We start from the raw sequence: 24,527 nt of genomic DNA, 5'->3' as shown, positions 1-24,527 counted from the left end.
TGACATCAAAGCCTCTTGCAGAAACATTTGAAATTATCAGTTAAAAGCGCGTTAGCAAAATACTAGTGTGTGATGTGTGTATGTGTGTACAAAATATACACATGTTATTACTAGGGGCTCCTGCGTGGAACAGTGCAGGTCTAGATCATGCACATGCTCTAAGATCCACTATTTAAAAATTTGCCATAGTTCAGGTCCATACATATAATTTTATTTGATACTCATATGTAACTTATATAGACTTATAGTTTTTGACAAAAGGCATATTTTCAGTTCTGGTCCACTCAATACAATGGTTGATATAATATGCTAAACTATTTAAATTAATATACTCTCTTTCCTTTAGGATTGTATTTCATGAAAATAATATACATGCACAGTATATAAAAAGAAACATTGAGGCCAGGCACGGTGGCTCACACCTATAATCCTAGCACTTTGGGAACCCAAGGCAGGTGGATCACCCAAGGTCAGGAGTTCAAGACCAGCCTGGCCAACATGGCAAAACACTGTCTCCACTAAAAATACAAAAATTAGCCAGGTGTCATGGCACATGCCTGTAATCCCAGCTACTAGGGAGGCTGAGGAAGGAGAATCGCTTGAACCAGGGAGGCACAGGTTGCAGTGAGCCAAGATGGTCCCATTGCACTCCAGCCTGGGTGACAAGAGCTGATATATGATGCACTGTAGCCAGTGGATTCTGTGTTGTTCCAGAGAATAGATCTAGGACCAATTTGAGGAATTCAGCAGATTTTTGTTGAATTTAAAGAAATAGCTGATAGTTAAAGCTGTCAATCTAGCAAAAAGAAAACTATCCCATGGAGTTATGGGCCCCTAATGTGGAAATATGCAGTGCGAAATTAGACAGCTATTAGTCATGGAGTTTGTAGAAATTATTTCCACAGTTGAGAGACCCCAGACTAATTGACCATCAAGTTTCCATTCAACTATTAGTTTCTATAATGGTATAGGTCAAAGGCATTTGTGATTGTGAAATATCATGATTCATGCCCACTCTGATTATCTATGATTATGTATTTTTTATGCAGTTGTCTCATTTTACTTAGTTTTATCTTTTAATATAATTATGTATGGTTTATGGTACTTATTGAAGAGAGAAATTAGCTCCTTTGGGAAATCTCTGTGGGTCAGATTTTTAAAACCCCAACTGGACTTTAAATGTAACAGTTGTCTTTTTTGTCATTCATGTTCACTTACTGTTAGTACATAACTTCTTCTTTCAATTCCAAGCTTGATTCAGACATTATTCTTTCCTTCAACTAATATTCTCCCCACACCAACAAGTATTTTATCATATGACCCAGTTTTATTTTCACCTTACATCTATTAGCATCTGAAACTACCTTATTACTATTTATTTGTTTACATGTTCATTTGTTTTTTTAACTTTACTCTTTTCCCTATTTGATTTCAAGCCTTATGGATACAAATGCCTAGGAAAACTCCTGGTCTATGGTAAAAGTGCACTATAAATAAATTTAATGAATAAATTAATAAACAAATACGTGGGTGAATAAGCCACATTTTATTTTGCATCCATGAAGCTTAAGATCTAATAGGGAAAAGAGTCTGTTCCCAAAATGGTCTTTCCACTGGGGTGTCATTTTCATCCAGTCATTCTATGTTGCAGACAGCAGGGCCCCAGCCTTATTCTTGTTTTTATCCATCATACAGCATAGCAAAGTGCCACACGCATAACAAATTAACAACTGTTAATTGTATGGGTGAATTAAAACCCTTCATGGAAGTGATATCACTTTTTCTAAAGTGTCTTGGTAAACTAGACTCTTTTACAATTAAAACAAGAGAAAGAGAGTTGCTGTGTGTCGATTTTTGGCCCTTAAGAGAATAAATGAAACTGGCAAACTGGAATAGTATAAATATGGGACAAGAATTAGAAGTGCCAGGCTTGATTGACCCCTACTCTACACATTTCTGACAGTATGAACTTGGTCAAGGCACAATCTTGCATGCACATCAATTTTTTTTTGTAATTGGGGCTAATAATCTCTGCCATTCCTATACTCCAGACTTGCTATGTATATAAAAAATGCAATATATGTGGGAAATTTGTTTAGGTTGTAAAATGCCATACAATTAAAACTTACCAGTATGGGTAGCATTAAAACTTCTGTGAAACCCAGGAGCAGAAACCTCTCCAATTCACATGTAAGAGTAACAAGTGTCTCTGGTTTTAACTAGCAGGAGAATAGAAGGGAGTAAGGGAGAAGAGAAAGAGAAGAGACAAAGAATAAAAAAGAAACAAGAGTGAGAAAAGAAAGAGAAAGAGAAGATAAAATATACAAGATGAGGTCACAGGAGGAGAATGTGGCCAAGAGGGAGGAAGAGAAAAGGGAGTAGAACCCACAAAAGAGAAATAATTGCATTGGAGGGGAATTGCGAGTGGCATCTATGGTGACCACAGATAGGCTGAAATCTCTAAATTAAGACTTCATTCATTTCAAAGCAATAGACTAGGTCAAGTGAGGGATGAGGTAGGATTCTGTGTTTCAAATCAACACAAGATTAGCCAGAATGAGGTGTCATCCCATGGAAATGGGTGACTACAAATGCCAGAGACAGGGTGACATTAACCTATTCATTGCTAAAGTAGAAACCGCAGCAAGAACATAGGCTTATGCCTACTAAGAATCTCTTCTTAGTTGGTTGACATGCATTCTAGTTTTCAAGACCCAAACTCTAGTAGAAGACCACCTTCTGGTAGTGGTGGCCTTGCAATGCATATGACTTGACTGAATGCTTACATTTTGTACAGTGTGTCACAGCTGAAACCTCTGCAGTTTTCACCAAGCCTGGCCTGACACACTTTCCCTACAATTAGTTATCATGTGCGTGGCATAATAATCTGAACATAATCTTTGAAAGGAAAATTAAATCATACATCTCAATTCAGTGATCCTTGGGAGCCATCTGAGTGTATGGAAAATTGGTTGCTATAAAAGATGCCCAAACTCAGCTCTTAGAAGACAGAGTAGAACCTACAATTCCCAGCCCTTCAGCTATTATTTTCCATGTTTCTAAAATAATAGCTATGTTTGAAAATAAGCTGCTCTTTTGTTCTTTAGATCTTTTATTATTATCATTATTTGTAACAATGTTTTCCAGTTTTCAATTTGAATTCCTCTTTCTCCTTTTGTTTTTTGTTGGTCTAAAAAGCCCCTAAAAATAATTCTTTTTGTCTTTACTATAGCATCTGTGCTCACAGGAATAAACTACTTTTTAGTTATTCTTTAACTTACATACTACTTCCTTCTCTAATATCCAGCATCTGAAATGAGGAGCAATAAAAATATGTCCTTATGGTCATTGACAGTTTCTATTTGGAACTGATTTAGCCAAGGGAAAGGAGGCTACATCGTAGATGATAGTAACATGTTGAAAGTAGATGCATGCTAACAATTTTAGAATGAACAATGTTTTCGGATAATCATTCACTGCCTATTTTGGTTTCAAAAATGATTATCCATTATGAATGTCACCTTTATTTTGAACCTTCAAAAAAATGAATACCTTTTTCTTCCTTCCATCTTTTCTCTACATGCTTTCTCATAATCTTTTGTTTGGAAATACCTAATAGAACCAAGCATACAAAATAAAACTCAAAACCATGAAGCTTATTTGCAACTCAGATAAAGGAATTGATTAATTCATCTCTCGACACGTATATTTTTGGAAGAACTGTGATATGTAAGACCATGGCTAGTCTCTCTACTGTTGTGTCTCCAGATTCTCTGGGAAAACCGAGCATGAGTCAGCCATGGACCATGCCTTCAACATGCTTACAATCTTGTTCAAGAACTAAGATATCTATATACATAACCATGAGGTAGAAAGGGGTGACAATCTCAAAAGAGGTATGGGTAAGATGAGAGATATGTTGAGAGAAATCAAAGGTTTCTACCCTGCTTTGGGCAACAGGAAATATAATCTGGAAAAAATAACATTGGAGTTATGGCTTTAAATATTAGTCTTCAAAATGGCTATAAGATGTTCTTTTCGAGAGTGAAAAGAAAATATTAGAAAGTTTCTTTAAATTTGTTATCTAAAACGTAAACATTGTAGCCTTCCCAGGATTTAATGTATGATTGGCATTGACACTCTCCTTTAGTGTATATCCCAGACAAGAGAGCTTTATTAAAGGGTTGTCTGTGGTGCTGTCACTTGTTCTGTAGCTTTCAACATTATCACAATCAAAGATACCTGGATTTATAACCCTCCTTAAGTGCGACCCATTGTTTTAATTTTTTTATAAAATAAACTATGGATTAAGGATAATTAAAAGGGAAGCCCAAACAGAACAAGATGTCAGAATTGGCACTTCTCTTAATCTTAGTAGAGATGATGGTCAGCAACATTGCAAAATAAAATCAGTGATTATCCAGTCAAAACTGAAAAGAACTAGGCCAGTAAAATTAGTTATCAAGAAGACTACGTGAAGTACAGAATTTTTTTTTTTTCTGAGATTGAGTCTCACTCTGTCACCCAGGCTGGAGTGCAGTGGCACCATCTCGGCTCACAGCAACCTCCGCCTCCAGGGTTCAAGTGATTCTCCTGCCTCAGCCTCCTGAGTAGCTGGGATTACAGGTGCGTGCCACTACATACGGATAATTTTTGTATTTTTAGTGGAGATGGGGTTTCACCATGTTGGTCAGGCTGGTCTTGAACTCCTGACCTCATGATCCACCCACCTCAGCCTGACAAAGTGCTGGGATTACAGGTGTGAGCCACCGCACCCGGCCTGAAGTACAGATTTGCATCCTCTAATACTCATTCACAAATTTCTCCTGAGGGAATATTGCATCTTGAGATTGTTTTTAATGACATTATCATTAGCAAGATATTTAAAATAGTTTCTTTTATCTTTACTTGATCTCTTTAAAATGTATATTTCTGTATACATCTTATACATAACTTAGTAGCATGATAATGCAGGTATAACATAAAGAAACATAGACGTATAGAGAATGAAGATAAAGCATGTAAAGGCTCTATTCTGGACAGAGAATAAAATAGAAGCCCCAAAGCAACCTATTTGGCTGAAGCTATCAATGTTTTGCCATTTAAGACACCAAAAGCTCAATGTGAAGAGGGACGCCTTTCGGATGCCAGCTCCTGGCGTAAACATATTAGACTTCTTGGAACTGATCCCATGGAACAGGCACAGTCTTAATGATTTCAGTCTTCTGGGAAAATGTCATATTTTTTTCCAATTAAGTGGCAAAGAAGTTATTCAGCACCAGTGTGTAAGCCACCAAAATATATTCTATGAGTTTCCTCCTGAAAGCTGCAAAGGATTTGAATTATATTCAGAGTAACCTCCCTGTCACGTGGCTGTTGGTTTCTCATTTTCTATTCTTTTCTTCCTAAATAACCCCACTTAATTGAGACCCAGTATCTCATGTTTCAGTGATTGTCTTCAAAAAAGAAACACTAGAGTTTGGGGAGCAGTTCTAGGCAGTAGAGAAAGGCAGCCTTCTCAGCCCGGTTCAATATGCTCAAATGTCATCAGATGGTTTTCAAGAGTATTTGGGGAAAACGTTGAGGCCTATTTTCAGAAAGACAACTGGCAGACCTTAAATGAAATAGATCTGTTGTAGAAAAAGGCTGTGGCCTAATACATCCTGGCACTGTGACTTAAGGCACACTGCTGGGGCAGCAGCACAGCACGCACACCTTCCAGGAAGGAAGGAGGGGAAGTAGGAAGGAAGGGAGGGAGGGAGGAGGAAAGGAAGGAAGAAAGGGAGGGAGCGAGGGAGGAAGGAAGGGAGGAAGGGAGGAAAGGAAGGAAGAGAGGGAGGGAGGGAGGGGGAAAGGAAGGTAGGGAGGAAGAAAGGGAGGGAGGGAGGGAGGGAGGATCTAAAAGCCTGGCTTATACTCCTTTCAGAATGACACCAATATGAGACCCTCCAGATGGAGCTACCTAATATAAAGCCAGGTCCAAATATTTAAGTATGGTGTTAGTCTATTTTTTCCTGAGGCACAAATTTTTTTAAGGCAAGGACACATCCACATGAGAAGGAGGATCACTCACAGCTGCACATGATGCCGAATAACTACCGTATTATGGTGATTTTGCTTTAACATTTGTTAATTGAAGAGGCATTATGTTGTATCATTTTGCAATAGATAAATAATGGGATGTTAGGCCTCATGAAGGGTGGATGGTGGGAGGAGGAAGAGGATCAGGAAAAATAACTAATGGGTACTAGGCTTAATACCTGTGTGATCAAATAATCTGATGGAGAGAAAAAAAATTTTAAATAATGTATACGTCTGAACTAAGGCTGATTATTTCAAATTTTTAAATTGTACCCTTTAAAAATTGACTTTGGGTCACTGCACAATATCGTAATTCAATAAAGCATGTAAATCAATTGAGAGCAGCAAAAATGACACATTAACATGAAAACTAGCTGCATAACTCAGTATGTCTCAAGTCATACTCAGTCTGAATAAGCTGATTGAAAATAGTAAGCTTTACGGTGTCCTAAAATTTAATGACCTATAGCTGTACTAGACTAGAATGGTGGGGGTGCGGGGGGCATGCCAAAGATCAGCTGCCAAAGGTCTTGTCATCTCAGAAACAACAACAAGGCCTGAGACTGGTGGCAAGGCAGACCCTTGAACTAACTCTGTACTGAATCTATTAGCTGTGATTGGTCTTGACTAAGTTAGTGGCTCTTTCACCTTTGTGTGTTTCTTCATCTGGACCTTAGAATAATATTATGCCATGACCAGAATAAGAAGTGAGTCAGTAGGCTTTAAGAAGGTCAGATGCTAACTAATAATGGCTAAATTATATTATTTTCCTAAATTGAATGCGATTATTTTCTGAGCTTATAAAAGTTGGTCTGATATGAAAGGAGCAGGGGCAGCCAGTATATCACGGTGGTTTAAAGCGAAGCTGGAAAAAATGCCCAGGCTCTGTAAGAATCATGTGCATGATTAATGCTGAGGCCACTGCCAACAGGAAAAAGAGGGACTCTCACAGTCAGAGAGTGTGATGGTATTTACAGTACATTGGCTTTGATTAATGTGCACACTCAGAGAAGTAATGTGTGGAAGGCAAGAAAAGACCTGTTTTCAAATGTTGGTGCTGAGTACAGATTTCCCATTGTGTCCAGAGAGGGTGTCAACGAATAATGACTTTTAGTCTTTTGGTTTGTTGGGTGTGGGGGGGTGTTGGTGAGGAGGACATTGCAGGGGTAACTTTCCCATGTACAAGGGAAGATAAAAATGGCTTTGCAGCATGGTGCAGTGGCTCACACCTGTAATCCCAGCACTTTGGGAGGCCGAGGCGGGCGGATCACGAGGTCAGGAGATCGAGACTATCCTGGCTAACACTGTGAAGCCCCGTCTCTACTAAAAATACAAAAAAATTAGCCGGGCACGGTGGTGGGTGCCTGTAGTCCCAGCTACTTGGGAGGCTGAGGCAGGAGAATGGTGTGAACCCAGGAGGCAGAGCTTGCACTGAGCCGAGATCGTGCCACTGCTCTCCAGCCTGGGCAACAGAGCAAGACTCCCTCTCGGAAAAAAAAAAAAAAAAAAAGGCTTTCCTTGTGCATTCTTACTACTCATATGAGTCTGGAAAGGCACCACTGAGAAGTTTATACCACATCTCACAGTTTCAATAAAGGGGATTACTAAGTAGTTTTAACTATAATGTCATCCCTAAGTGATGCCTTTAAGTATGCAGTATTTATATAGTATTTGAATGTCTTATGAAAACATGTACTAGGGTTTTCAAGGTCCATGGGTGTCAAAGAGGAAATTAGTATATATAATAATCACCTGAAAAAAAAATGTTCTCATCTACCCTAGAAGAGGTTTCCTTCTTCCTTTTGCCCCACGCCAGAGCCTTATGTGCTTTCAAGGAGTATTTATATAATGTGTAACACCAGGAGAGGGAAAAGGCAGGTTAAACTTAATATGTAGTGTATCGGGGAAGGAGAGTAGCACCAGACACATAAAGTGTCTTCCCAGGTAATTCTGGTTCTCTCAGGTCTCCAAATTTTTCCAGGCCACCCACCTTCGATATGAATTGTAAGTAAAGGAGCATACAGCTAGCAAATAATTAAGAACCAAGAACCTGACCCTTTCACTGGAAGTTGGAATAATATAGGTCATGTTAAAAAATAACTGGCAATCTAGAGAAATAATCACCATAACACCGTCAATTTATCCCAACTGACTGCTTTGATTTAAATGCAGGAAAATCAATAGCTTCATCATAGGAGCTGATTCTGACTACTTGGTAGTGACTCCTGAGGGCTGTGTAGGCTAAATAATGGCTCTCCACGATGTCCACCTTCAAATTCCCAAAACCTGTGAGGAGAGATTATTGTAAATCATCTGTGTTGGTCCAATGATATTATAGGAGTCTTTTCAAGAGCACAGGAGAACAGAAAGGAGAAGGACATAAGTGTGATAACAGAAGCATACCTTTTAGTGATATCCTTTGGAGATGAAAGAAAAATCCACAAGCCAAGGAATACAGGCAGCTTCTAGAAGCTGAAAATGGTGAGAGAATGGATTCTCCTCTCAGAGCCTCCAGAAGGAACCAGCCCTGCTGACACCTTCCCTTTAGCCTAGTGAAACTTACTTTGGACTTCCCAGTTCCAGAAATATAAAATAATAAATGTGTATTGTCAACAAATTGGTTAATATTTGTTACAGCAGCGATAAGAAACTAATGCAAGAATTGCATGAAGAAAAATTAGTGGAACAAGTAATACAGGAGTGATGCCAGTCATGAGTTACAGAGGGAACTGTAAGAATTAAAATGCATTCAACTACCAACTCTAGTTTTCTCCTTAGGGTGATGCAAGAATTTCATTGCCATTGGAAGAAAGAGCAGAGAAGAGTGGCAGTGTTTCTTAGACAGCTGTGCTCTTTAGATGTTATAGAAAACAAACTTAGTCACAAAATAGGCTGAAGTCCTTAGAAGAACTTCTACCTAGAAACCACAATTTTCACTAGGGTAAAGTTTCTCAGCTAACATTAATGGCTACTTTTGTTGGTTCTAGGGAACATCGGATGGTCGATCATGGACCCCCACAACTAGGTTACATGTCTCTATGAACCAAAAGTCCAACTGGGGGAGAAAACCATAGTAATTCCCCCCCTTAGATCTATCTCTTTTCAGACCCAAGTAGATGGGAAAAAAAGGAAAAGAAAAAGATACATGCCAGATTTCTGATGAAAGAAATTCAACCAAAGAAGGGGCTATTTATTTTATAATCCTTGGGATTGGTTCAGGTAGACAGAGAATAATGTTTTAATCAGACCCACTTAGAACAACGGCTGGGAATATCTTGTTTCTGTATATTTCTTTGCAATATATAAAACATTCCACTGATTCTGAGGTACCCGTCGAATTTCAGTGCTTTAAGATGCATACTGACATAAAACCTATGATGATGCTTTCACTGCAAGATTTATTTTTAATTAGCTCTGAAAACATGGATTTAAACTCCTTGCTATTCATTTGAAACTGACCTGTATTCTTATATGTTGGAGAAAAGTTAAGGAGTGTTGAGCGTCTAAAATTCTGTTTTCTTGTTTATAGGACAAAGATAATAGATTTTAGGAACAGAGTGGGCATGCGAAGCAGCATATGATGTGATGTGCGCAATTATGGGCATGTCCATGCTGTGAATGGCTGCCCTTAAATGTGTGTAGTGCAAAAGGTGTGCAGTTCTATGCAGCAGTGCTGGGTATGAGAAGTGAGTAAGAAAAGTAAGCAATTGCAGCAGTGCCTGGAACGTTGTAAGCACATAATAACACAATAATGTTTGTTATTATGTTATGTTTTCAGTACAAAATCACACAAAAAAATATTAAATCTTCAGACTTATAAAGTCCTGGAGAAAATAGTCTGTTTTACTAAAGACAAAAATCAAAATTATTTGGTTTACTGATCTCTATTTTGCCCACAATATAACAAAAAACAAACTTTGCCAAAGAAATTCTTCATTCTAATTCTACCTTTGATTTCACCTATGGGTTTTGTGTTTTTTCTTGGGATTTTTCCCCCTCCATGAAATTCTTCTATGAATTCTATAATCTGTCTAGGATTTGTTACAACACTAACAGGTAAAGGGTAAATTGAGGTATTTGAGGACCGAAGAACAGAAAATAAAATTGTGCCTAGGATTTCTTTAGAAAAGTAGTAGTGAATTTGAGGAAGGGAATTTCTTCTCTCTCTCTCCACACACACACACACACACCACCACCACCACCACCACCGCCACCAGCAGCAATGGCAATAGTAATAAAGTATTCTCCCAGGTTGATCTCCTAAAATATCTTGAAAATACACTCTATCCTTGTTTCATAAGCAAATGCAACATTGAATATGAAACACTATTATTGTGCACAAAGTAGAATTCATGTAATTTTTGTTTTTAATAATAGATCCTCTAGATGGTGACAATTTCAAAATAGGAAATAAAATTGGTCTTGTGCCCAGGCAGAGTATATGTCATGTAATTACAGCTGTATTAGTGAAGTGCCTCAGTTCTTTCTCAATTTTTCCCATCTACTTGATGACATACAAAATTTCCTTTCACAAGGAACACAGCCTTTTGTTGCTGAAATGAAAATAAAATAAAATATAGGATTTTAGCACCCCTGGGATCATGTGCAAAGGCAATGCTGTGAGTTCACAAAACCTTGTTTTCTTTTCTTTCCCGAACGGAATAGAATACATTTCCCAGCTTTCTTTGCAGTTACATGAGCCTTTGTATCTCATTTCTGGAATATGGGTGGGAGTGAAGTGTGTCAATTTCTGTCCTGACCCCAGAAGTCTCCTATGAGATCTATTCTCATTCCTTTCTGTTGTTGGATATCTGGATGCAATGACTTGTGCAGAGGGTTCTGGAGCCTTAGGGGACAGGATATCTTGTAGATCGAGGGTACCTAGGTCCTTGAACAACTATGTGGTACATAGCCCACCACCCACAATTCGCCTGGACTATCATGTGAGAGTGGAATGAAATTTATTGTGTTAAGCTACTAAGACATTTTGATATTATAATAGCAGTTAGGCTACTCTGAATAATATGGAACAAGAGAAATAGAAAGGAGACTAATATATACAATGCCAGACAAACATTTTCCCTCTTTCATGGAGCAATTCCTTTTTCAGACTTGAATCCCAAAAGTTCTTCAGGATACTAATTACTCAAGATGATTGCTAGCTGAGTATTCATTAGCTGATTTTCCAAGGACTTTTATAGGGTCCTCAAAACTTTGGAATGACACTTTACAAGAGAAAGTAACACCCAGAGGGAGAAATTTGCCAAATTAAAGTTTCATGTTTGAATAGTAGAAGAACAGTGTGTCCTTGCTTGAGTCTATATCTCTTTTCAACTTATCATTTTTGGTTGCTTCCATGATAACTACTTTTTTTCTTTTTTATCTAATACAGAATTATAAGTAAGGGAATTCTGGTAGTAGAATTCCCCTACTCTTGTAATTCAGCTCTATTCTTGTAGAGCTAATTTATATAATCCTAGGAAGTTATACTACCACAAATATCTGTCACTAAGAGTAAATAAATTCTGTATTAGGAGTTAAATAACAACTTTAAACGATAACAACTACACACAGAGAGAGTTTATGTGTGTATATATTTTATATTCCTTTTTTCTCACTAAAAGAATATATGGACAAGACTTGCAAAGTACTACTGTCAGCAGGTGTAAGAAGGAACTCAATATAATCCATTCAGTTGATGTTATCTGGCAAGTATTGTAATTTTGGAATTTAAAAAAGTGAAAAGGTGCTGATGCACCTTAAGAACAGTAAAAAATAAGTAAATAAAATGAAAAGGTAGATTTTTATAAAATATAATTATTTGTAAAAGGAGAAGGAAAGAAAAAATGACATTTGATGAACATCTGCTATGTGTCAAATGTTGTGTAAAACATTTGATTTTCTATTCCTTACCATGTGACAAATGCCACAGTTTTATTTTAATTAAGAGAAAATAAGCTCAGATCAGCAAAGTCAACTAGTGAAGACTACATGGCTAATCAGTGGCAGTCCTGGGATGCAGACAAAACTTATTTTTCAAGTCTGTATTCATTTCAATCTACTTTATCACAGCACTAAATTTGAATGTTAGAAATAAAATGATTATATCTAAAGCTAAGACTCTCAGATAAAAGTTCCATTTGCTATATTATAAAAAAGAAAACATCAAAGTGCAATCTCCCATGTAGCATGGCACATGGAATGGCTGAGTTTCAGTGTAGCGTTCAGAAGCCAGGGAGAAGGAGAGAGGGAGGAAGGGTAATGGGAATAAGAGACAGAAAGAAGTAATAATATCTCAAGAAAGAAACCCCAGGACTGTAGGCTACTGGGGCCATTTCAATCACTTGTCATGACCCCCGAAATCTATGCAATGTAGTATATATATATATTTTTTATTTTACTGGGACAGAGATTTAGGCTGTATTCCTTGAGGCTGCTATGTGTGATGAAGTCACTGTTGGTGGGCCTCCCAACTACCCATCACCTATATTTAACCCTGGTCTTCAATCTGTTGCATTCATGGTAATGCCCATCAATGGCTAAGGTGATCTTCTAATATTTTAATTTTTAACTCGATATGTTTTATGGGAGGCAACATAGCATAGTTGTTAAAAGTGGACTCTGTAGCCACATTCCCTGAGTTCAAATCCCATCTCCAATATTTACTACCTGTGAAACTTGGTCAAGCTACGTTTAACTTGTCTGTTCGTCAGTTTGCTCATCTGCAAAACAAGCACAAGAGTGCTATAAACTTAATGATTATTATACTGATAAAATTAGTGTGTGTATAGTATAGTGTCTGGCAAACAGAAAATGCTGAATGTGCTAACTCTTAATTACAGAAGAAAATATATGCTATTATTGTTTTCATCTATAAAATCAACCGCTATGTTATGGGACTTATTCTATATAAACATCAAAGAAAAAAAGGATTAAGGAGGAAGTTTTTGATCTTTAATACTATTATGTTTTCAACGATTTAGGGAATAAAAATATAAATAATATAATTAAACTTTCTGTTTTGTTTTCACACAATAGCAGAAACTACCAAATCATTTCATAGATATTCACTGTCCTTAAAAAGACAAAATGACTCTATGAAAACATTTGGTATTTTTTGTTTTTAAGCCATAGCCCTAGTTAATTGACCTGTTTCTGATCACCTGTACCATCTTCTTCTTTCTCGTTTTAATCAAAAGAGAAAGGAGGAAGGAGAATGAATGCCAGAAATGAGATGAGGTCAGGGATAGGAAAGAGAGTCAAGGATGAGGCAGTGTCAGAAATGACTGGCAGGTTTGTGCCAAGCCAATAAATTTTCAAAGATATTCCTTTCACTTATCTGAATAAAATGTCCATGGTATTACCATCACTGGGTTATTATAGCCTTTTTCATTATACTTTCTAACCCATAATGTTTTAAAATTATCTTTATTACATTTTACTTTCTTTAATTGACAAAATGTATATATTTATTGTGTACGAGATAATGTTTTGAAGTATGTATAAAAATGGAATGGCTAATTAACTTATGCACTACCTCAGCTAGTGGCAGGCCCTCTACTTCAGAGTCTGATCTGCTTTTTTTTTTTTTTGATTATTATTGTAACCACTGTTTATTAAAGACTTCTGGCCTCTGGTTTCTTTAAAATATTTTCAATCTCTAACCCTTTCTTCTCTAGGTCTTTTTCTGTAGGATCCAATGCAATAATTTAAGATGCTATTTGCTGACAGGAGATCCCAAGAACCCATTATGGAAATGAAGGCAGCAAACAACGTTTGAATATATTTCCCAATTTAAAAAGCCTTCATTACATAGTACATTTCAGGCTGAGAATTTTAAAAATTTATCATAGTTTCAGTAATTGTAGAATCCTCTTGAAGTTTGGCATGATATAGACTCATTTGTAAAATGTGTATTTTGTTTGGCATTCAGTAGGAAGCTTGCCAGGCAATACATTTAATTAAAAACATGAGGAAGAGAATAATTGTGGTTTGGCATAGTGTATTATCATTACTTTTAGGTTCTACATGTGCTTAAGATAGTGGTCTCCTAACAAGGTATGCATTTAAAACTAGAGGTAATTTCCCTTTCATCAGCCCAGGGTTTTTAAACTGGGAAACATAGTATTTTGAGGGGAAGGGTACTTTAGCTGCTCCTTAGATATAACACTGTCTATCATTTAAAAGATGAGAGCCTTAGCTGCTCTCCTTAGAAACAATCTTTGTCCATTGTTTAAGACTTGAAAAATTGATGCATTGCCTTTCAGGAGCTTAGACAGCTTTATTTAAGTTGAACTTTCTCTAGAGATGCATTGAAATAATGAAATGCAATGCCTTACTTGAACATAACCATGTACGTAACATCTAGTCCTGCCTGATGTGTAAATTTGATAAGAGCAACTCAAATATTATAATGATTAATGTTGATTTTTTTATTACAAAGCAATCTTTGTCAGCAGATTCAGAGAAAATGTGTGATGATAACCATCTATGAGACCAGGTTTTCATTGTTGTTAGACATGCTGTTTCATTTTTACAGGGAAACTTGCTAATAATGATTTTGAGAAGCACCATGGGAAAAAGGGCAATGAAAGGGCCTTTCTTGGCTTACAGGGCACAAGTATTTTAGGTTCAGGTTTTCAGGTATAGAGTTCTTTGATCATTTAGCTTTGCATGAATCCCCTCTGTCTTTTATCACTACATAGTGCTATTCTTCTTAGTGAACAAAGACTTTCTTCTAATAACACATCTTATTGGATTTAATATTAGGGTGTCTATTCTCAAGGTCAGTTCAAGGCATAAATAAGACATGCACCAAGATTGTTTTCACTCCCTGTCTTTTCTTAAGCAACTGTATTTTGGCCTCTCAGAATTTTTCTTTTCTCACTCTAACTAGTTTATTCCTTTTTCCCCTCCTCACTATCCCTCTTTCCCTTGAAGCATCAAAACAATTGCTTTAGTGAGCTGTTTCTTCAGGGCGCTATTCTCTGCTAGGGACAAGGAACAGAAATCTAATAATTAAAACCGAGAAATTCAGTGTGGTAAGACTCAGTAGAGAGTTAGGAAATATGGACAGAAGTGGTTGTAAATGGATGGAACAGCTACATTCATTCAGATAATCATTCGTTTATTTTTTTTCAAAAAAGGGAAGATAGAAAAATGTCCCCTTATCATATTTCAGTCCAGTTGTACATCTTTAAAGAAAGGAGCTCTTGGTGAAAGGATCCAATTATATAGGTGTTTGGCTCCCTTTCACAGTAATGTGTCAAAAACAGTATGCATTTTTCTCACAGAAATGCTGTTCTTGTATCAAAATGGTCACTCACTCCGGAAACAAATGGAAAACTTCTCCAAAAATTAAAAGCACACTTCTTGCTTTTTTCCTACCTTGTAGAATCCTGAAATCAATGCAACTTTTATTCTGTGGCATTAGGAACCAAGATAACATGACTCCAGCTTTATATTATACTCAACTATTATGATATAGTTCTTTTTTGTTTTTTTTGAGACAGAGTTTCACCTTGTTGCCCAGGCAGGAGTGCAATGGCATGATCTTGGCTCGCCGCAACCTCTGCCTCCTGAGTTCGAGCGATTCTCCTGCCTCAGCCTCCCAGGTAGCTGGGATTACCAGCATGTACCACATGCCCAGCTAATTTGGTATTTTTAGTACAGATGGGGTTTCTCCATGTTGCTCAGGCTAGTCTTGAACTCCCGACCTCAGGTGATCCACCCATCTCGGCCTCCCAAAGTGCTGGGATTACAGGCAGAAGCCACTGCTCCCGGACGTTTTTCTTTTACTTAACAGCAAGTAAACAGATTGAGGGAGAACTGAGAGGGACAAAAATAAACCATGTAAGGAAGAATACATGAATGGTGTTCTTATAGGCCTCATTGACTTTCCGGTACTCTCTGAGTTTAGACTTTCCATCCTTTTCCTATAGGACAATTTCTTTCTTTCTCTCATGCTTAAATCATGATGTTTAAGTGACATAACTTAGTAATGGGCAAACAAGATCAGATCAAAGGGTGGGAGGGGTAAGATCATGTAAAGGGACCCAGGCCACCGCTCTCCACCTCCAACTGTAGTATTCTGTTGGCTAACCCAAGATGGTATACCGATTGACCAGTGTGCAGCACCAGATTTTATATTTCACCAAAATTTGGCTGGATTATTTTAGATCAACAGATATCACGTCATTTCAGTACTTCTTATTAATTGTCCTCAGGCCTAATTCATTTTTTTCTGGATTTCTTTTTCACTCATCTCAGCAATACTCTCAACATTTTCCTTTTAAGTGAATGCTAGAATTAATGGATTTACTTAGGTAAGTCTTGGGGTAACTCCTCTTTGAAAGTGGGAGAACCACTATGAGACAAACGAGAAGATAAATTTAATTCATGTTTTCATGTTGAAGGCCTTAGATTACACATTTCTTAGGCTTGGACTTTCCATGTTTGAATCAACTGTGGAGAATAGATAATGGGATTAAAAAAAACACAATTAATGGAAAGACTGTAAAAACAGATTTAAAAAATAAAGATTGGAACAGGACTCCAAGATGGCTGACTAGAGGCATTCAGCAATTGCCTCCTCCACAAAGAAAAACTAAAATAGCAAGTACATAATCATTCTTTGAATACAGCATCTAAGACAGAACACTGGAATTCAACAGAGGAGTGTCATGAAACACCTGAAGCAAGAAAAAAAACAGGGAAGTAAAGCTGCCAGCTTGGTCAGGATCACCTGGGAGCTTGGAGAGTCACCCCAGTGTGGGAAAATGGTATATGCCCCAGCAGTCCACATTCCCATGATGGGCTCCTGCAATCCTAGTCACTGGAGAGTTCCTTGACCCCTGCAGACCATAAGGCTACCACAGGAAGCAGCCTGGATAGTGTGTAATGGCGTCGCTCCAGATAGGTAGCTTATGCTGGGTCCCACAAACACCCTGAGTCCTAAGCAGTTGTAGCACAGTGTCATTATGAGAATGTGGCCCAAACCAGACTGCATTTCTCCCTGGGGCTCAGCAGCCCCTGCATTCCTACATCCCTAGAACCCCACTGACATCTCCCTACATCCCTTACAGGACTGCAGTGGCATGAGAGTGATTAGACTCAGCAGAACAGCAGGGTCCTCAGCACTATAGAACACACAGCAACTTGCACCCCAGGTTATGGGTGGTGTAGCAGGCAAAGCAAGGTGCCCCTGGGACAAAGGGAGCCAAAGCATGTGCTCCCCAGAACTTGAAACTTGCCTGCCTGGGGCTGCTCCCACTGATAGCAACTCTGCCTCCTCAGCAATCCTCAACTTGCACATGCTCTGAAGACTGGCTCTCCCCATGGCTGCTGCTTCCACCAATTCTGGACACTGAAGCGTATACTTCCAAGAGCCTGAGAGCCAACTGGCTGTGGCTGCTGTCACTGAAAATAACCCCAATTCCCAGAAACAGGCCCACAGTGTACTTGCACGTGCCTTGAGGATGGATTCTCCCTGCTCATTGCTGTCATTGCTGCCACCACCCAGCACTTTACCAGGGGAGCCTAGGTTTCACCCTGGCCTGCCGATCACAGCCTGTACCTGTGTGCACAATGGAGGAGGCCTAATGACAGGCTTGTCTGGCCTGGCAACATCACCCATGCCTGGGCACATTGTCTAGGGACCTGGGGATCATCTTGCCCCACCCACTACCACTGGTATCAGTGCAAGTATTTCAGGTGCTTAAGCGCAGGCCCACCCAGCTCATCACAGCCACCACTAACAGAAACATGTTTTATCTGTGAGCCCATGGGGTTGTCCTGTCACAGATATGGCCATTGCTCATGCCATGCATGCTACCCAGGAACTTAATGAACCACATGGCCCAATACTGCCACTGCCAGAACCCAAGAAAGCCACCTGGAGGTCCAAGAATTAGCCTTCTTAGACCTAATTACATTCGTGCCCATGCACGCTGCCTGTGGGCCCAAAGACAGGCATGCTTGGCCCACCACCGAGGCCTGAGGACCAACCCACCTGCAGTTCTCATCCCCTACAAAGCCTTACCACAGCCTGCACTAACAGCCACAGCCTAATTGACAGAGGAAATCACAGATACCACTGAGGCTATTTATAGACAAATAAATCACATGGAGGCTACATTACTGCATGCACCCAGAATCAAACTAAAGTGTCCTGTGAAACCAACACTACAGATAGATCTTTAGGACCTTCCCCTACAAAAGACAATCCAAAAAAATAAAGAAGTGACTTACACCATATGCAAAGATATCAATGAAAGGAAAAAAGAAACATTAAATGTCAAGGAAATATGCCACATCTAAAGAAACATAATAATTGTCCAGCAAGATATTACAATAAAAAAGAAATTAATGAAATGATGAAAAAAGAGTTCAGAGTAATAATATTAAAGAAGCTCAGTGAGATACAATAGAACACAGATAAAGAATACAAAAAAAAATCAGAAAAGACAATTAAGAACATAATGAGAAATTTACCAATGTGATAAGCATCATAAAAAAGAAACAAAAATTCTGGAACTAAGAATTCAATGAATGAAATACAAAATTCATGTGAGAGCTTCAACAACAGATTTTATTATGCACAAGAAATAATTTTATAGCAGGAATAAAGGATTTTTTAAATAACTTGGTCAGGCAAAATAGAATAAATAATAAAAAAAGATTGTACAAATCCTGTGTAACAAATGGGGCTCCATAAAGTAACCAAAGTTTCAAATTCTGGATAGTCCAGAAGTTGAAGAGAATTCCAAAGCCATAGAAAATCTATTTAGTAAAATGATGCCTGGAAACTTAAAAGTCTTAGGAGAGATATGAACATCCAGATTCAGAAAGCTTAAAGAGCCCCAAATAGATTCAACTCAAAAAGTTCTTGTTAAAGGCAAGTTATAGTCAAATTGTTGAAAGTCAAATACAAAGAAAGGATTTCTAAAGACAGGAAGAGAATGATGTTAAGTCAAATATAAAGGAAACCTTATTAAAACTAACAGCAGATTTTTCAGCAGAAAAATTACAGATCAGGAGAGAATGAGATGATACATTCAGAGAGCTGGGAGGAGAAAAACCAAAAAAAAAAAATGTCAATCCAGAACACTATACCCAGCAAAATTGATCCTTCAGCTATAAAAAAGAAATAAACTCTTTCCCAGATAAGCAAAAACTGAGGAAATTTATTACTTTCCTTTGTTTTCGTGACTCCTTTAAAGGGTTCTTATATCTGAAAGTGCAAAGATGATATCTATTATCATGAAAACACAGGAAAGTATAAAACTTACTGGTAAACATACAAATGTAGAAACTACTCAAATGGTACAACTACAGAAAAACACCAAACCATAATGATAAACAATAAGAAAGAAAGGAACGAAGTATACACAAAACATCCAGAAAACAATTTACAAAATGACAGAAATAAATCCTCACACATAAATAATAACTTTGAAGGTAAATGGATTAAATTTTGCTCTTAAAAGATATAGCTTGGTGACTCAGACCTTTAATCTCAGCACTTTGGGAGGCTGAGGTGGGCAGATCGCGAGGTCAGGAGTTCAAGACCAGTCTGGCCAACATGGTGAAACCCTGTCTCTGCTAAAAATACGAAAATGAACCAGGCATGGTGGCACATGCCTGTAATCCCAGCTACTCAGGAGGCTGAGGCAGGAGAATAGGCTGAACCCAGGAGGTGGAGGTTGCAGTGAGCTGAGATTGTGCCACTGTACTGCAGCCCAGGCAACAGAGCAAGACTCCATCTAAAAAATATATATAGAGAGAAAGACTGGCTGAATGGATTTGAAAACAAAAACCAAAACCAAAAGCAAGGACCACATGACCCAACTATCTGCTGCCTCTAAGAAACTCACTTCACTTGTAAAGACATATAGAATGAAAGTAAAGGATTGAAAAAGATATTTGGTGCAAACAGAAACCAAAAGTGAGCATAAGTATCTCTACTTATATCTGATAAAAACATTTTTAAGTCAAAAACAGTAAAAAAGAGACAATGAAGGTCATTATATTAAAGATAAAAGGACAAATCCAGCAAGAGAATATAAAAATTATAAATACATATGTACCCAATATGAAATCATCCAGATATATGAAGCAAATATTATTACATCAAAAGGGAGAGATGTACTCCAATGCAATAATAGTTGGAGACTTCAACACTCAACTCTTAGCATTAGAAAGATCATCTAGACAGAAAATTTAAAAAGAAACATTGTATTTAAACTGCACTTTAGACCACATTGGCCTAAGAGGCCAATCTACAGAACATTTTATTGAACAGTTGTAGAATATACATTTTTCCCATAACCACATAGACATCCTGTAGGATTGACCATATGTCAGGCAACAAAACAAATCTTAACAAATTTTTTAAAAGTTAATAGCATACCAAGTGTCCTCCTATGCCACAATCAAATAAAACTAGAAATGAGTAAAAAGAGGAATTTTGGAAGCTGTACAAATACGTAGAAATTAAACAACAATCTCCTAGACAAGCATCAAGTCAATGAAGAAATTAAGTAGGAAATCAAACAAGTTTCTGAAAAAGAAAGAAAATAAAAACACAATATACCAAAACCTATAGGATAGAGCAAAAGCAGTGCTAAGAGGGAAGTTCATAGCAATAAATTCCTACTATAAAAAACTAGAAAGTTTTCAAATAAACAATCTAATGATGCACATCAAGGAATTAGAAAAGCAAGAACAAGCTAAATCCAGAATTAGTAGAAGAAAATAAGTAATAAAGATAAGAACAGAACTAAATGATACAGAGACTAAAAAAATACGAAAGATCAACAAAGCAACAAATTGGTTTTGTGAAAAGATAAAAAATTAAATAACCTGCTAGCAAGACTAACCAAGAAAAGAGAGAATACCCAAATAAACAAAATTATAAATGTAAAAGGAGGCATTACAATTGACATCACAGAAATACAAAAGGTCATCAGACACTATTATTAACAGTTAACATTTACAAACTGGAAGACATAGGGGAAATGAATAAATTCCTGGAATCACAAAACCTACGAAGATCAAGTGTGGAAAAAATAGAAAATCTGAACAGAACAATAATGCACAGTAGATTGAATCAGTAACAAAAAGACTCCCGAAAAAGAGAAGCCCAGAATTGGTTCCTTTATTGCTGAATTCTACCAAACTTACAAAGAATAACTAACATTGATTTTCCTCAAGGCATTCCACAAAACTGAAGAGGAGGGAATTCTCCCTATTTTATTTTATGAGGCAGTATTACCCTCATACCAAAACCAGACAAGAACACAAGAAAGAAAGAAAACTACAGGTCAATATCCATGATGAATGAGACACAAAAACCCTCAACAAAATACTAGCAAAATTAATCAAACAGCACACCAAAAAGATAACACATGTTAATCAAGTGGGATTTATCCTTGGGATGCAAGGATGATTCAACATACACAAATCAATAAACGTGATACATCATATCAAAAGAATGAAAGATTAAAAAATGTGATCATCTCAATAGGCTCAGTAAAAGCATCTGATAAAATTCAAGATCTTTTCATGATGAAAACTCTCAAGAAAGTAGATTTAGAAGGAATATACCCCAACATAATAAAGGCCACATATTACAAACTCACAGCTAACATCATACTGATTGGAACAAAGCTGAAAGCCTTTCTATCAAGATCCGGAACAAGATGAGGATGCCCACTTTTATAACTCCCCTTCAGGATTCTAGTACTGAAGGTTATCAGCCAGAGCAATCAGGAAAAAGAAAGAAAAGTCATCCAAATTGGAAAATGGGAGGCCAAATTGTCCTTCTTTGCAATGAAATTATCTTATATTAAGAAAAACCTAAAGACTCCACCAAAACACTCTTAGATTTGAAAAATTAAGGAAAGTTGCAGAGTACTAAATCAACATACAAAAATCAATAGCATTTTATACACCAGTCTGAAAAATGTGCAAAAGAAATCAAGAGGCAATCCCATTTAAAATAGCTACAAAAAAAAAGCCTAGGAATAATTTTAACCAAACAAGAACCAACCTCTACAAACAAAACTATAAAACACTGGTGGAAGAAATTGAACAAGACACAAAAAATAAAAAATATATTTCATGCCCATAGATCAGAAGAATTAATATTGTCAAAATATCCATACTACCAAAAGAAATCTACATTTTCAGTGGAATTATATCAAAATATCAGTGACATTCTTCACAGAAACAGAAGAAACAATCCTAAATGTTACATATTAATAGAACCACAAAAGTCCCCAAATAGCCAAAGCAATACTGAGGAAAAGAACAGGAAAAAGGACACAACACATCATACTACCTGGCTTCAAGACATATTATAAGGCTGTAGTAACCAAAAAAGCATTGTATGAGCGTAAAAATAGACACATGAACCAATAAAGAACCCAGAAATAAATCCACACATTTATAACCAACTGGTTTTCGACAAAGGTGGGAAGAACAGGCACTGGGGAAAGGATGGCTCTTCAATAAATGGTGCTGGGAAAACAGGATAATCATACTCAGAAGAATGAAACTAGCCACCTATCTCTCACCATATACAAAAATCAAATCAAGATCAGCTAAAACCTAAATGTAAGATCCAAAATTATAAAACTGCTTGAAGAAAACATTGGGGAAATGCTTCAGGTCATTGGTCTAGACGAAGATTTTATGGCTAAGACTTCAAAAGCACAGGCAAGATAAAAATAGGCAAATGGGACTATATTAAACTAAAAAGCTTCTGCACATCAAAAGAAATAATCAACAGAGTAAAGAGCCTGTTAAATAGTAGAAAATATTTAATATTTAAATTATTTAAATATTTAATATTTAAAAATATTTGCAAACTGTTTCTCTAATAAGGGCCTAAAGTTCAGAGAATACATGGAACTAAAACAACTCAACAGGAGAAAATAATAATAATCCCATCAAAAAGCGGGCAAAGGACATGAACAGACATTTCTCAAAAGAAGACAAATGACCAATAGGTATATGAAAACATGCTCAACATCACTAATTAGCTTGAAAACTCAAACCAAAACTACAATAATATATCATTTTACCCCAGTTAGAATGACTATTATTAAAAGGAAAAAAAAAAAAACAGATGCTGGCAAAGGTATGTTGAAAAGGGAACTCTTATACACTGTTGATGAGAATGTAAACTAGTACAGCCATTATGGAAAACAATATGGATATTTCTCAAAAAATTAAAAGTAGTACTAACGTATGATCTAGCAATCTCACTCCTAAGTATTTATCCAAAGAAAAGGAAATCAGCATATCAAAAGGATACCTGCACCCCTATTTTTATTGTAGTATTATTCACAATAGCAAAGATGTGAAATCAACCTAAGTGTTGGATAAATGGATAAATAAAATGTGGTGTGTGTGTGTGTATACACACACACACACACACACTACACACAAAATGAAACACAGCCATTAAAAAAGAATTAAATCCTAACATTTACAGCAACTTGGATGAGCCTGGAGGATGTTATGCTAAGTGAAATAAGTTAGACAAATATCACTTTCTCCTCCATATGTGAGAGCTAAAAACTTTGCTCTCATGGAGGTGGAAAGTAGAATCATAGTTATCTGAGGCTTGGCATGGTGTTTGTTGGGGATTGGGGGGATAAGAGAGGTTGGTTAATGGGAGCAAACATACAGTTAGAAAGAACAATTCAAATATTCAATAGTTGAGTAGGATGACTATAGTTAAAAACAATGTATTGAATATTTCAAAATAGCTAGAAGAGAAGACTTCAAATATTTTCAACAAATAGAAATAATACTTGACTGACGTGACAGATACCCTAAATAACATTACTTAATCATTACACATTCTATGTATGTACAAATAGCAAAATAATACATGTACCCCATAAAAAATGAATTTTACCATCAATAAATTTTTTTAAAGTAACTAAAATATAGCAACAGAAAAAATGTGAAATACTAAAAGTAGGCCTGCTGATAAAAAATAAATCGTTAGATACATATAATATCCAAAATATTATGATTCTCTCTAAAATCAGGAAAATACCTTTGCCTTGAGGTATCTAGGTCTATGAAGGGTATCTCTAGGCTGAGTTTTACTATAATAAACACCTGGGAATGAAGATCAAAAAGGTCTTCATCTTCTCTGCAGTATTTCTTGACTTAACACAATAGGCTGGCATTAAAAAATAATAATAATAATACTGGAGTCTGATTGTGCTCTTTTCAAAATCAAAATATTAAAACCAACAGCTGGCAGGGCACGGCGGCTCACGCCTGTAATCCCAGCACTTTGGGAGGCCGAGGCGGGTGGATCACGAGGTCAATAAATCGTGACCATCCTGGCCAACATGGTGAAACCCCATCTCTACTAAAAATACAAAAATTAGCCGGGCATGGTGGCGCGCGCCTGCAGTCCC

At 37.0% G+C, this 24,527-nt stretch overlaps 1 protein-coding gene across 8 annotated transcripts in view; it reads left to right on the top strand.

The window, feature by feature from the left end:
• The window catches only part of CTNNA3 (catenin alpha 3), a 1,851,072-nt gene that overhangs the window by 1,749,994 nt on the left and 76,551 nt on the right, over positions 1-24,527 (top strand). The gene's annotated exons all lie outside the window — the stretch shown is intronic.

This window comes from Homo sapiens, chromosome 10 (genome assembly GCF_000001405.40).
Source record: "Homo sapiens chromosome 10, GRCh38.p14 Primary Assembly".
NCBI lineage: Eukaryota > Metazoa > Chordata > Mammalia > Primates > Hominidae > Homo > Homo sapiens.
This window is presented reverse-complemented; position numbering and strand designations above follow the sequence as displayed.